At 47.1% G+C, this 15258-nt stretch overlaps 1 protein-coding gene across 40 annotated transcripts in view; it reads left to right on the top strand.

Annotated features, from left to right (window-relative positions):
* Positions 1-15258, top strand: part of SUGP2 (SURP and G-patch domain containing 2) — a 42958-nt gene that overhangs the window by 9568 nt on the left and 18132 nt on the right. For all 40 annotated transcript variants that reach the window (XR_430124.5, XR_001753576.3, XR_007066515.1 and 37 more), the window contains exons 4-5: positions 5048-5168; positions 13935-14422. Coding sequence is in view for 13 of the 40 variants with exons in the window: in NM_001321698.1 (NP_001308627.1) it covers positions 5048-5168; positions 13935-14422 (609 nt within the window). In the remaining 27 variants the exon portion in view is untranslated. The remainder of the gene's footprint in view (positions 1-5047; positions 5169-13934; positions 14423-15258) is intronic.

The following is a 15258-nucleotide window of genomic DNA, read 5'->3' as shown; positions in this document are numbered from 1 at the left end:
TAGCCGGGTGTGGTGGCACGCACCTGAAATCCCAGCTACTCGGGAGGCTGAGTTAGGAGAATCCACTTGGACCTGGGAGGCGGAGGTTTCAGTGAGCTGAGATCACCCCACTGCACTCCAACCTGGGTGACAGAGCAAGACTCTGTCTCAGAAAAATAAAAATTTTTAGACATTTTTAGGTCAAATACCTCTCTGGGAATTTGGTAGAAAGCTGTGGCCATTGCCAGAAAAAATGCTCATCTATTCACGCACAATTTTACCTATATCATCCGGGGGATTCGTACCTTTCTGCAGCCAAGGTTAAGAACGCTTGTTCCTTTTTTTTTCTTTTTAACCTTTGAAAAAAAGAAGGGTTGACTTTCTTTCCTTGTTTTTGTTTTTTTGAGACAGGGTCGTGCTCTGTCACCCAGGCTGGAGTGCAGTGGCATGACCATGGCTCACTGCAGCCCCGACCTCCTAGGCTCAAGTGATCCTTCCGCCTCAGCCTCCTGAGTAGCTGGGACTATAGGCATGTACCACCATGCCTGGCTAACTTTTTTTGTATTTTTTTGTAGAGAATCATGTTGCCCAGACTGGTCTCGAACTCCTGAGCTCAAGTGATCTACCTGCCTCAGCCTCCCAAAGTGCTGGGATTATAGGTGTGAGTCACTGCACCTGGCCTGGAACCCTTGTTCCAACATGTCCCCACAAGGTATTACTAGAAGGGAGAAAAGACACAGAGCACTGTCTCTGAGGAATCCCCAGGCTCCTGAGGGAAGAAAATCACAAAGACCAGTCACTTGTGAGCCAGGGGTGGTAGCATATGTCTGAAATCCCAGCTACTTGGGAGGCTGAGGAGGGAGGATTGCTTGAGGCCAGGAGTTCAAGGCTGCAGTGACCTATGATTGCATCTGTGAATAGCCACCGCACTCCAGCCTGGGCTAGAATCACCCTGTCTCTCAATAAACCAAAACAAAAAAACAGTCACCCCTGTGCTAGAATTAAAGCGACACAGGAGAGGCTCCAGTCTAGCCTGGAAAGTTGGAGAGGTCGTGCTTGAGCTGTATTGAGGGATGTGTAGGGAACAGCCAGGTCATTCCACATAGTGGATACACCTTTTCGCCCTACTCACTTTTGTAGACTGGCTAAAGTTGGTGAATCACTTAAGTACACCTGCTAATTAGCAGTTATCATTGGCTTTCTGGGGAGAGGAAAAGGCCAAGGAGGAGAAATAGAAGTGATGAGCTGTTTGGTTTCCCTCTTCCTTCCTCCTAAGCTCCCAGAATGGACTCTCACAGCCCAGACATCCCAGAGGTCACGAGCACACATGGTAATCATGCTGTCTTAACTCTTGTGATAGGGAGAAAGCACTTTTCCCACGATGTGGTTTTCACCTTCCATTGCCCCCAGTCCAGTGGCGAAGTCTCATTTGTTCCTGACTTTCTTTGCTCTTTCACCACCCTCAGGAAGCCCCAACAGCACTAGACACTAGATAGGTCCCACCACATACAGGTGGCCACACCTACTCCCAGAGAGGGATCCTTCCAGAAGTAGGCTCAGGGCTTAAGGGACCCTACTCCCCAATCCCTCACAAAGTGATGGCATACTGTATGAAGGAAGAAAAGTCACCGATAACCTAAAGTGGTTATAACCCACCCACTTACCCTCCCACAGTCTTTGATGTTCCCCCTGTTTTCCTGCAGCTGCAGGCATGCTGGACTGAAAATGCTACCGCCTGCTCTTCTACATGATTGCCAGAAAGCCCTCTTTGTTTCCACAGCCTTTGCTACATCCTGATATTGACCTAATGTAAATTACCTCACCTTTCCCTTGATGCTGGACTCATGCTGCCTTTTACTAGAGGTTTCTGAAGCCAGACAGACCTGGGTTCACATGTAGTTAGCATCTGCAAGCCTCAGTTCCCTGTCTGGATAGCGGGATAGGTGGCAGCAGGGCCCACATCTCATGAGGCTGCCCCACCGCTGCTTATGTTCCTGTTAGAAATGCTATAATGGGCCAGGCGCAGTGGCTCATGCCTGTAATCCCAGCACTTTGGGAGGCCGAGGCGGGTGGATCATGAGGTCAGGAGATCGAAACCATCCTGGCTAACACGGTGAAACCCCGTCTCTACTAAAAATACAAAAAATTAGTCGGGCGTGGTGGCATGTGCCTGTAGTCCCAGCTACTCGGAAGGCTGAGGCAGGATAATCGCTTGAACCCAGGAGGCAGAGGTTGCAGTGAGCCGAGATCTTGCCACTGCTCTCCAGCCTGGCGACAGAGCGAGACTCTGTCTCCAAAAAAAGAAAAAAAAGAAAAAAAGAAGTGCTGGAATGGGCTGGGTGCAGTCGTTCGCAGCTATAATCCCAACACTTTGGGAAGCTGAAGCAGGTGGATCACCTGAGGTCAGGAGTTCGAGACCAGCCTGGCCAACATGACGAAACCTGTCTCTACTAAAAATCAAAAATTAGCCTGGCATGGTGGCACATGCCTATAATCCCAGCTACTTGGGAAGCTGAGGCAGGAGAGATGCTTGAACTTGGGAAGTGGAGGTTGCAGTGAGCCTAGAGCGCACCACTCCACTCCAGCCTGGGTGATGAGCAAAAGTCCATCTAGAAAAAAAAAAAAAATGCTGGAATGACATCTTTGGTTGAATGCTTTGGTTATTACTGTTAGTTTTATTGTTTTTAATTCTCCTTGAAAGGGTACATTCTCAGGAGTAGGATTGCTGGGCCAAAGCTGTGACCCACTTTCTGACCCTTGTTCGTGGTCATCCTAGCTAAAGATGACCAAATTTGCAGGGGTCCCTAAATTTCATTGCTGACTGTAAACCTCAACATCTTTTGTAAAATCATGTAAAACTAGTAGCTCTGTAAAAAGAGAGCCATGAAAAAAAAAGCAGTTTCATAGGGGACATACTTGGAATAACGTGGCAGTTGAAGGATTGACTCATCATGTGTGAGGAGCTCACACTAGTGTTTAAAATAAGCTGAAAGCTGCAACATGGACACAGACGGGCACAGGACTATGCAATCATTTACAGAACAAACTGGAAAACCTCGCTAGTTCAGCAGTGATTTTAATTGAGTTGAGTGGCTGAACAAATAGACCATTCTTTGCTTTTTTTTTTTTTTTTTTTTTGAGATGGAATTTTGCTCTTGTTGCCCAGGCTGGAGTGCAATGGCATGATCTCGGCTCACCGCTATCTCAGCCTCCCAGGTTCAAGCGATTCTCCTGCCTCAGCCTCCCTAGTAGCTGGGATTACAGTCATGTGCCACCACACCTGGCTAATTTTATATTTTTAGTAGAGACGGGGTTTCTCCATGTTGGTCAGGCTGGTCTCGAACTCCTGACCTCAGGTGATCCACCCGCCTCGGCCTCCCAAAGTGCTGGGATTACAGGAATGAGCCATTGTGCCCGGCCATCATTCTGTACTTTTAAAACTAGACAATTGTTAGGAAACTAAACAATCTTACCATTCGAAGAAACATGTTCTGTGTTGCTGGCAGCATTGTAAATTTAAAGTCATATTGGAGGACATTCACACTTTAAAAAATATTTTGGGCAGGGCATGGTGTCTCATGCCTATAATCCCAGCACTTTGGGAGGTAAAGGAGGGTGGATCTCTTGAGCCCAAGAATTGGAGACCAGCCTGAGCAATGTGGTGAAGCCTCGTCTGTACAAAAAAATAAAGCTGTACGTGGTGGCGCATGTCTGTAATCCCAGCTACTTGGGAGGCTGAGGCCTGAGAATTGCTTGAGCCTAGGAGTTCGAGGCTGCAGTGAGCTGTCATGGGACCACTGCACTCCAGCCTGGGCAACAGAGTGAGACCCCATCTCAAAAAAAAAAATTTGCCTTTTTTTTTTTTTGAGACAGGGTCTCACTCTGACGCTCAGGCTGGAGTGCAGTGGCGCAATCTCGGCTCACTGCAAGCTCCACCTCCCGGGTTCACGCTATTCTCCTGCCTCAGCCTCCCAAGTAGCTGGGACTACAGGCGCCCGCCACCATGCCCAGCTAATTTTTTTGTATTTTTTTAGTAGAAATGGAGTTTCATCGTGTTAGCCAGGCTGGTCTCGATCTCCTGACCTCGTGATCCGCCTGCCTTGGCCTTCCAAAGTGCTGGGATTACAGGCGTGAGCCACTGTGCCTGGCCAAAATTTGTTTCTTATACATTCAGCAGATATTTTCTGTGAACATGTAATTTGGGATCACTGACCTTTTTATTTATTTATTTATTTATTTTTTTTTGTGATGGAGTCTCGCTCTATCCCACCATGCCTGGCTAATTTTTTTTTTTTTTTTTTTTTTTGTATTTTAGCAGAGACGGAGTTTCACCATGTTGCCCAGTGTGGTCTTGAACTCCTGAGCTCAGGCAATCCACCCCGCTCAGCCTCCCAAAGTGCTAGGATTACAGGTGTGAGCCACCGTGCCCGGCTGACCTTTTTTTTTTTTCTTTTTTTTTTTTAATTGGAGAAAATTTTTTGTGAATTGATACATATATTTTCTGATTACAAAACACAAGTTTTTTTTTTAAGTTCTTAAAGCATAAGGAAAATGAAATTCCTGATAATTCTACCCCCTATAACCTCTGTTAACATATTTCCTAACATATTTCCTTATAGTCTTCTTTCTATGTATCCATATTTATATTTTTTATTCCCACCTTTATATTGAGAACCATAACCTAGATACATTTTTGTATATTTTATACTAGATATTTATATTTTCCACTTTAATGTTATGAACACTCAAATTATTAAGTAATATGTGAAAAATGATATCAAATTGCTATATATCTTTCTTTTTCTAGAGCATATACATAAATTGCTCTGTCCAGTCATTGAAAGCTGTGACTGTTTCTCTCCTAGTGGTTATACTGTTACATTTTTTAGGAGGAGATTTTCCATATTGGTTGTTTTCCTCTTTTCAATGCTGGTGTCTTGTGAATGAGGATTTCGGTTGTTGATGCCTGCTTGGGTTCAGCACTAAGCCCCCAACTACTCAACTATCCTCGTCTTCTCAGAGCCCACATTCAGCATATTTCTCAGAGAAGCTGTTCTGTGTGTTCCAGCTGTCCCCCAGCGAGCAGATCACAGGGTAGTGGGCACCATCGACCAGCTTGTGAAACGTGTCATCGAAGGCAGCCTGTCTCCCAAAGAGAGAACTCTTCTCAAAGAGGACCCTGCTTACTGGTAGGTCTTTAAATGTCCACGCTGTGAATCCCTCTCATGGAGTATATGGCAAAATTTGGGTCACTCTGATGGTATTGAGAGCAGAGGGTGAGATACTTGAGCAAGTGGTGTTCTCCAGTGAGAAGAGCATGAGGGTGGCTCAGATTTATGTGGGTTCAGCAAGCCCCAGCTCTGCTGCAGACCAGTGGTAGGCCAGCTGGGTGGGTGGCCTTCTCTCACCTGTGACTACAGCTCCAAGTCCCTGCTGGGCTGTTTTAAGGATGCAGTGAGATGTGCATGCAGAGAATACAGAGTAAGGGTAGTAAGATTAGTAATACATCATTGCAGTTGTTTGCAATTTATTGCTAATATTTGTTAAACTGTCTTTTGCTTAATTGCCTCTTTATGTAAATAGAACAACTTTTTTTTTTTTTTTTTTTTTTGAGACGGAGCCTTGCTCTGTCGCCCAGGCTGGAGTGCAGTGGCGCTATCTCGGCTCACCGCAACCTCCGCCTCCCGGGTTCATGCCTTTGTCCTGCCTCAGCCTCCCGAGTAGCTGGGACTACAGGAGCCCACCACCACGCCTGGCTAATTTTTTGTGTTTTTAGTAGAGATGGGGTTTCATAGTGTTAGCCAGGATGGTCTCGATCTCCTGACCTCATGATCCACCTGCCTCAGCCTCCCAAAGTGCTGGGATTACAGGCGTGAGCCACCGCGCCCGGCCGAACAACTTATTAAAATTACAGTTTGCGTCCTAAATATAGTACTTTCTTATTAGAGAAAGTAAAGAACAAGCCAGAGAAAGAGTCTTGCTCTGTCACCCAGGCTGGAGTACAGTGGCGCAATCTTGGCTTACTGCAACCTCCGTCTCCTGAGTTCAAGCGATTCTCGTGCCTCAGCCTCCCAAGTAGCTGGGATTACAGGTGCACGACATGAGGCAGGTCACCTCAGCAAAGAGGCAATGGCCAGTTCTGTCCACAGGGCTCCAGTGGCAACAAATAATGCTTGTGGGGTGTGAGGGTGGAAGGTCTCAAATCTGTGTATTTTTAGTAGAGATGGGGTTTCACCATGTTGGCCAGGTTGGTCTCGAACTCCTGACCTCAGGTGACCCACCTGCCTTGGCCTCCCAAAGTGCTGGGATTACAGGCGTAAGCCACTGTGCTGGGCTGAGACACCATTTCTCTTAAAAAAAAAAAAAAAAAGTGATGATCAGTGCTTTGATTGTATTTCTGCCTACCTTTCTGGCAGTTTATTATGATATCTGGGCGTGAAACTGCTGGGTTAAAGCTCATGTTAGAGGCTTTTGATTTATGTCAGTTTCTCAGCTGCAGCACTTTTTATTTTTATTATTATTATTTGTTAACGGAATCTTGCTCTGTCGCCAGGCTGGAGTATAGTGGTGTGATCTCGGCTCACTACAACCTCTGTTTCCCAGGTTCAAGCAATTCTTGTGCCTCAGCCTCCCAAGTAACTGGGATTACAGGTGCCCGCCACCACACCCAGCTAATTTTTTGTATTTTAGTAGAGACGGGGTTTTACCATGTTGCCCAGGGTGGTCTTGAACTCCTGAAATCATGCGATCCGCCTGCCTTGGCCTCCCAAAGTGCTGGGATTACAGGCGTGAGCCACCGCGCCCAGCCTCAGCTGCAGCACTGAGGCTGGATCATTCTGTATTAGGGTTGGAGCTGTCCTGGACATTGCAGGCTGTTTAGCAGCATCTGTGGCCTCTATCCGTTTGATGTTAGTAGGACCTTCTGTCTCACTAGTAACAACCCAGAATACATCCAGACACTGCCTGGTGTCCCATGGCAGGCAGAGCTGCCCCTGATGGAGACCATTGATGTTTATCATTAGATTACTCTCCATAGGTTATCTGTACTAATTGACTTTCTCACTGCTACTCTGTAGGTGTGCTGTGCCCTCTTTTGTTTTCTGTTTTTTGTTAGTGACAGGATCTCACTCTGTTGCCCAGGCTGCAATGCAGGGGTGCTATCACAGCCCACTGCAGCCTTGACCTCCTGAGTGTGCCCTTTTTGGTAGTCAGATTGTACCCATACTGGACTTGCTATGCTTGCTGTTGTAATTACTAAAGATGCTTGAAAGGCATACATTTCCATGTCTTTGGTCCTACCCACCATGATTTACCAAGGGGAAGGTTGGAGCTTATTGTGGTTTTATTTTTACAAAATTCTTGAGTTTGGATTATTTTCATGTATTGAATGAGGTAGGCATGTAACTTAAAAGTTAAAAATTCCCAAATAACCTAATTGTCCCAGCATCATTTATTGAATACTTTTTATTTAATAAACACTTGTGCCTTCTGTGCAGTTGGTACTGTTCTAAGCACATTACTGATTTAAGCACTAGCTGGTTGAATCCTCATAAACAACGTTGGGAGGCAGGTCTCTTGCTATGCTTATTTTACAGACAAGAAACTTTGAGGCTCCAAGAGCCCTCTTGCCTTGAGGATCCACAACTAGTAAGAGGCAGAGTTGAGATTCAAATCCAGGGTCTGTGGTCTGAACCAGTGTGCATGTTGAAGGATTGTCAGATTGACAGATGCAAGCAGATACCGACCCTCTTGGTAAGAAGGCATCCAGACTTAGAAGGCCCAGGGGCACTTTACAGGTGGTTGATAAGGTGATTAGGCTGGAGGAATAGGAGGCCCTGAGAGGCCTGGGGGCTGGTGCCTCTGCCCCATGACCCCTGCACATGGCCCAGTGGTCTCATGACCACTGATAACCAGGGGCAGCAGACGGAAGCCAGAGTCAGGGGTATGTTTGGATAGGGGGCAGGGCAGGGTACAAAATCAGAAATAAGCGGCCGGGCATGGTGGCTCACACCTATAAGGTGGGTGGATCACGAGATCAGGAGATCGAGACCATCCTGGCGAACACGGTGAAACCCTGTCTCTACTAAAAATACAAAAAAAAATTAGCCGGGCCTGGTGGCGGGTGCCTGTAGTCCCAGAAATAAGCATCAAACTAAGAACTGATATTTGAGGTAAACCAGTATCATGAAAGAGCATCACCAAACTCAACCAACTCCTGACACCCTAGAAGACAGAGTCACTATGAGAAAGAGGAGGTGTAGTCTATAAATATGTATGTGCAATGAATAGTCTCAGGTAATAAGAGTATATTGTATCCATGAAACAGACACTGGTTGCTATGAAAACGATTCTATTAAGGATCTTGGAAATGAAAAATAGATTGAAATAAAAATCTCAGCGGTTGGCTGATAGAATAGATCCTGAAGAAGGAAAGATTTAGGAGTTGGTCCCAGAGACTTTATCATCCAAAAACTCCTTCACAAGGAATTACCTGGCTGGGTGCAGTGGCTCACGCCTGTAATCCCAACACTTTGGGAGACCGAGGGGGACAGATGACTTGAGGTTGGGAGTTCGAGACCAGCCTGGCCAACATAGTGAAACCGTGTCTCTAATAAAAATACAAAAAATTAGCTGGGCATGGTGACAGGCGCCTGTAATCCCAGCTACTTGGGAGACCGAGGCACAAGAATCACTTGAACCCGGGAGGCAGAGGTTGCAGTGAGCCAAGATCGCACCACTGCACTCCAGCCTGGGTACAACGGAGCATGACTCTGTCTCAAAAAAAAGAGAAGGAATTACCAAGAGACTGTAAGAGGAAAGAGTGTGATACAAAAGCACAGCAATAAGTAAAGAAACTGCTAAACTTAGGTTTCTGGTGTGCATGTTTGAATTCTTAAGTCAAAATGCTCCTTGTATGTTGTATTTAACAAAACAGTCAATTGAACGCATAATGAAAAGCCAAATGTTTCTGCTGTGACCTGTTTCCATGTTCCACTCCTTGAAGGCAGTCACTTAGTTCTTCAAACTACTTCTCACGGCTACCTCTGTATCTCTTTTTATTATTTATTTATTTATTTATTTATTTATTTATTTTTTGAGACAGAGTCTCGCTCTGTCCCCCAGGCTGGAGTGCAGTGGCGGGATCTTGGCTCGCTGCAAGCTCTGCCTCCCGGGTTCACACCATTCTCCTGCCTCAGCCTCCCTAGTAGCTGGGACTACAGGCACCTGCCACCACACCCGGCTAATTTTTTTGTATTTTTAGTAGAGACGGGATTTCACCATGTTAGCCAGGATGGTCTCAATCTCCTGACCTCATGATCCTCCTGCCTTGGCCTCCCAAAGCGCTGGAATTACAGGCATGAGCCACCGCACCTGGCTTACCTCTGTATCTCTTAATAAGCCTATGTTGCTTTTTCTTGACTGAACAGTTTTATGCATGACCATTGACATTCTCTGAAGATATATGTGGATTAATAAGTTCTTTTTTTTTTTTGTTTAAAGAGATGAGTTTTCATTCTGTTGCCCAGGCTAGAGCACAGTGGCATGATCATAGTTCACTGCAGCCTCAACCTGGGCTCACAAAATCCCCCTGCCTCAGCCTCCCAAGTAGCTGAGACTACAGGAGTACACCACCGCATTCAGCTATCAGCTTTTTTTTTTTTTTCTTTTTTTAAGAAATGGGTTTTTGCTCTGTTGCCCAGGCTGGTGTCTAACTCCTGGGCTCAAGCGATCCCCCAGATCACTGGGGTTACAGGCATGAGCCATCATGTCCAGCCTTAATAAATTCTTTTTATTAGTTAGCAAGTGAAAAAGTCAGACCTCTAGGAGGCAGATATAAGAAGGGCTTCTTATCTCCACCCTCTGAGGGCCAGCAGAGATTTGAGACCTTCCACCCTCACACCCCACAAGCATGATTTGTTCCCACTGGAGCCTTGTGGACAGAACTGGCCATTGCCTCTTTGCCGAGGTGACCTGCCTCGTGTCGTGCACTAAAGATGTCAGAAGAGCCAGGTGCGGTTACTCACACCTGTAATCCCACCACTTTGGGAAGCCGAGGCGAGTGGGCCGCATGAGGTCAGGAATTTGAGACCAGCCTGGCCAACATGATGAAACCCCATCTCTACTAAAAATAAAAAATTAGCTGGGCATGGTGGTGGCTGCCTATACTCCCAGCTACTCAGGAGGCTGAGGCAGGAGAATCACTTGAACCCAGGAGGCAGAGGTTGCAGTGAGCTGAGATCGCACCACTGCACTCCAGCCTGGGCGACAAGAGCAAAACACCGTCTCAAATCAATCAATGAATCAATCAGAAGTATAGACAGACACATCCACTATGGCTTTACTTCCTTGTTTGGAACACCAAGGGGCAGGCTTCCGTCCTTTTCTATGAGAGAGTGCAAAGCATCAAGCCTAGAAAATGATAACAACAGTGCAGGATATAAAGCTGAAGGAATATGTCATACTTTGTTTTCTCTCATCTTCTAAATTGTCCCCTGGGAGTGGGCCAGCCCTGACCATGCTCTCCAGGGAGAGCCCACCAGGTCCTACGTGTTCACACACTCAGGAAAACAAGTGGCTAAGAATCCCTGTGGTCTAGCCTCAGCAGGATTGTCCAAGCACCCCAAAGTTAACATAAAATCTAAATAATTGATGTTTGGGGTGAAATAAAAGAAACTAAAATCCCAGATGATCTAAATATGTGAGGCACAAGGGGAAGGAGGGAGGTAGGTGTGCAGGCCTTTGTCTTGTTTGACATGAGGATAGAGCTAAAGGGTAATTCTGGATATTGATACAAAATAAAAGTTTAGGTATGTGTGTCGATTAGCCATTAAAGGAACAGAAGTGAGGTCTATAACTTCCGTACTACTATAGAGAGAAAGAAGCAAAAACACAGGAATTGGAAAACACAGAGATGGGAAATTGCATAGCAGGTGAACGCTACCAAAAAGAAAGGATGTAGAGAATTGTTTAGGCAAAAAAGACTTTAAGGAGAACAGCACTAAAAGGAGCAAAAGAAGTTCCTGATAAAAGGGAAAGTCATCACGAACATATAGATTGTGAATCTTGGTGCCTGCACTACATAGCTTTGAGCCATGTAAATAAACAACCTTTAGAAATCATTTAAGTCCAGAGCTGGGTGCGGTGGCTCATGCCTGTAATCCCAGCACTTTGGGAGGCCAAGGTGAGCAGATCACCTGAGATCAGGAGTTCAAGACCAGCCTGGCCAACATGGTGAAACCCCATCTCTGCTAAAAAAAATTCGAAAATTAGCTGGGTGTGGTGGCGGGTGCCTATAATCCCAGCTACTCGGGAGGATGAGGCTGGAGAATCACTTGAATCCAGGAGGCAGAGGTTGCAGTGATCCGAGATTGCGCCACTGCACTCCAGCCTGGGTGACAGAGCGAGACTCCGTCTCAAAAAAAAAAAAATCATTTAAGTCCAAAACCATGATAAGAGGAATTGGATGAATCCAAAACCATGGTAGGAGACATTAATGTTTCTCTGAAATGCGTAGACGACGTAATCCAAATAAGGTTGTGGAAGATTTTATAACACAGGAAATGAGCATAAACAGAGACAATCTGCTAATATTTGTTGAGCGGTTAATGACTACTAGGCAGTTTTCATAGCACTTGCCTCCTAGTGAAAAGCTTATAACGCAGGCCTCACAGCTGTATGATGAAGTAGCTACTGCTTATCATCTTCCCTGTCTTACAGATGGAGAAACTGAGGCACAGAAAGGTTCCCAGCTAATAAGTGGCTATGCTGAGATTTGAAGCCAGCAGACTGGCTTGTTGAGTGTTCTCTGTTCTTGATGTTATGTTCCACTGGAACTTGGGAGATGCATTTGGGACTGACATCCTCGGACTGCACTTGGCATCAGAACCATCCAGGAACAAGGAAAGCCATCAGAGCCATGAGTGACTGGGGCAGTCAGGTCACCTGGCCCTGATTCTGCGCTCTGCCCTTGATGAGGAGTTGCCTTGCTGGGGCTGTGTTTGACTTGAGAACCAGAGTGCCCATGTTGGTCAGCATTCTCTTAATTGAGCGCTATTGCTTATTAGGGCATGATCTTGCAGGATGCCACCGTTAGCCCAACAGAGTGCCAGGGCAGCAGTGGAGCCGGTACTCAGTCGTTTTGTCAGGTCCAGACAGACCTCAACTGGCTAACAGTGTCAGCAGGAGCTTGTGTATGGAGCTGCCTGCCAGGGACATGCCACATCACACAGTGCTGCCAATGCTGTGCAACACACAGCCACCTTACTTCTAGTTGGCTTGTCACTGGTAATCTGGAACCTCATCTAATAACTGATATGTCGCTACTTAATATCAAACAATCTGAAAGCCACCTGAAATACTGCCATACTTACTAAGCAATATTCTTCTTTAACACAAACTGAAATCAAATATTCACAAAAGTCTGTTATGTTTGTTGTGGGGTGGTTATTTATTTATTTATTTTTAAAGAGATGGGGTTTCGCCATGTTGCCCAGACTGGTCTTGAACTCCTGGGCTCAAGCGACCCACCTGCTTCCGCCTCCCAAAGTGCTGGGATTACAGGCGTGAGCCACCACGCCCATCTTAAAAGTTCGTTATGTATGAAATCACAGAGAAAATCACAGCACACCCAGGAAATTCACGTGGGCCACATTATGCCAATACAGCAAACTAGAAACCAGCAACAACCAAAATAAAACATGTTTCTGAATAACTTTTGAGTGAAGGGTAATCATAGCTGAAATTAGAAGCAATTTAGAAGGAAGTGGCAAGAAGAACATTATATACCAGATGCAGTCATAAAAATACTTAAGAGAAAGAGTGACTTCAGGTGACTTTATTAGAAATAGTGGGCCAGGTGCAGTGGCTCACACCTGTAATCCCAGCACTTTGAGAGGCTGAGGCGTATGGCTACCTTGAGCCCAAGAGTTTGAGATCAGCCTAGGCAACATGGTGAAATGTCCTCTCAACCAAAAACACAAAAATTAGCCAGGCGTGGTGGTGCGCGCCTGTAGTCCCAGCTACTGGGGAGGCTGAGGTGGGAGGATCACCTGAACCCAGAAGGTCGAGGCTGCGGTGAGCTGTAATCAACTCATGAAGCTAGAAGGAAAATGATGAAAAAAGTAAAGACACTAGAAGGAGAAGGTTTTTTTTTTTTTTAAAGATAGGGTCTTGCTCTGTTGCCCAGACTGGAGTGCAGTGGTGCAATCACAGCTCACCACAGCCTCTCGACTTCCTGGGCTCAAGTGATCCTCCCACCTTAGCCTCCAGAGTAGCTGGGACTATAGGCATGCACCACCACCCTGGCTAATTTTTTTATTTTGTGGAAATGGGATCTTGTTTTGTTGCCCAGGCTGGTCTTGAACTCCTGGGCTCAAGCAATCCTCCCGCCTCAGCCTCTCAAAGTGCTGGGATTACAGGTGTGAGCCACCACGCCCAGCTGAATATTTTTCTGTTAGTACATGTAGCTCAACCTTCTCTTTACTGTTCTCATCATGATGACTGGGTCATAAGATTTCACACCTGGGCCGCAGGCTCCTTGGTTAATGTTCTCTTGTGGTTCACATCACACTTTCCTTGATGCAGTCAAAAGCTCACCGAGCACTCATCCTGGCTGGGCCATTTAAAAGGTGTCAATTCTGCCTGCCAGGGTGCTATGGCTCCAAGGTGACTGGTTTGTGTTTCCAGGCCATCAAGAGCTGGGAGCTCCCTCACGGCTGCTGCTGATGGAAATCAAGGAGGAACTCAGTTCAAACTCCCGATTGCCCTGTGGTCACTCTTAGCAGGGCAGCTGTCTTGGGCCTAGCTCTGGGTCCTCAGTAGAGCCAGGCAGAGCCTCTGAGACAGGAGAGGACAGTGAGGAGTTGGCCACTTAGAAAGGGTTTGTGTTTGAAGGAACAATTTGGGACCTGGTGGTGTTTTCATAAATGTCCCGTTATGCTTGTTTTGTTATCTAGGTTTTTGTCTGATGAAAATAGTCTGGAGTATAAATATTACAAGCTGAAGTTGGCAGAAATGCAGCGGATGAGCGAGAACTTGCGAGGAGCCGACCAGAAGCCGACCTCAGCAGACTGTGCAGTGAGGGCCATGCTGTACTCCCGGGCTGTCCGCAACCTCAAGAAGAAACTCCTTCCGTGGCAGCGGCGGGGGCTCCTCCGTGCTCAAGGGCTCCGGGGCTGGAAGGCGAGGAGAGCGACCACCGGGACCCAGACCCTCCTATCCTCAGGCACCAGGCTGAAACACCACGGCCGGCAGGCTCCAGGCCTCTCACAGGCAAAACCATCCCTGCCAGACAGAAATGATGCTGCCAAGGACTGCCCGCCAGACCCAGTTGGACCTTCTCCTCAGGACCCCAGCTTAGAAGCCTCAGGCCCATCCCCCAAGCCAGCAGGAGTGGACATCTCTGAAGCACCTCAGACCTCTTCTCCCTGCCCATCTGCTGACAGTGGGTGCTCACTCCTGTCCCCCTCCTCTGGGCCCCAGTCCCTACTCTCCCATCTCCAGGGTCTCTTTAGAATTGGGGGGGCCTGCAATCTAGGCAAGGCAGTGGATAAAAGCTCTAGGGACCTGGCCAGGACAAGTGTACATGTTGGCGCTTTCTCTCTTGCTTTCTTGAGAGAGCTGCATGCGAGTCCTGCAGCTCCCTCCTCCTCTTCTGAGAGCGGAGCTGGTATGAGGTGCTGCCCCATGCCTTCGTGCTCCCCGACAGGGTCCTGCTGCTGGGGCCGTGGGCGGTGCATTGCCTGAACTTGGGATCCCATGTCCTGCTATATCCTGGCCTCCCTTGATAGTCTTCGGGACTGCCTTGTTCTCATTGCGCCTCCTCATCCCCAGGGTCTCCACAGTTCCTGTTCTTGGGGTTCGCTGACCTGCACTGCTTCCTCCGAATCGACTAACTTCACCCCTTCTGTTTCTTCTGTCACCTTAGCTGTTTCTTTCTCTCTGTACCACAGGCCTGCTCTCTGGCCAGTGCTTCCTAAGCACTAAGTGGGAAGGAGAGAGCAAAAAAGTGTCCACAACTGCTGCATTATTTAGGTGTTGCTGTGTCGTGAGCCGTTCCAAACTGTGGCTTAAAACAGGAGGCATCAGCTGGGCGTGGTGGCTCACACTTGTAATCCCAGCACTTTGGGAGGCCAAGGCGGGTGGATTGCCTGAGCTCAGGAGTTCGCAACCAGCCTGGGCAACATGGTGAAACCCGATCTCTACTAAAAATACAAAAAATTAGCTGGGCGTGGTGGCACATGCCTGTAGTCCCAGCTACTCGGGAGGCTGAGCTAGGAG

The sequence above is a fragment of the Homo sapiens genome, chromosome 19, assembly GCF_000001405.40.
Source record: "Homo sapiens chromosome 19, GRCh38.p14 Primary Assembly".
Classification (NCBI taxonomy): domain Eukaryota; kingdom Metazoa; phylum Chordata; class Mammalia; order Primates; family Hominidae; genus Homo; species Homo sapiens.
The sequence above is the reverse complement of the archived record's forward strand: the minus strand, read 5'-3'. Positions and strand labels throughout refer to the sequence as shown.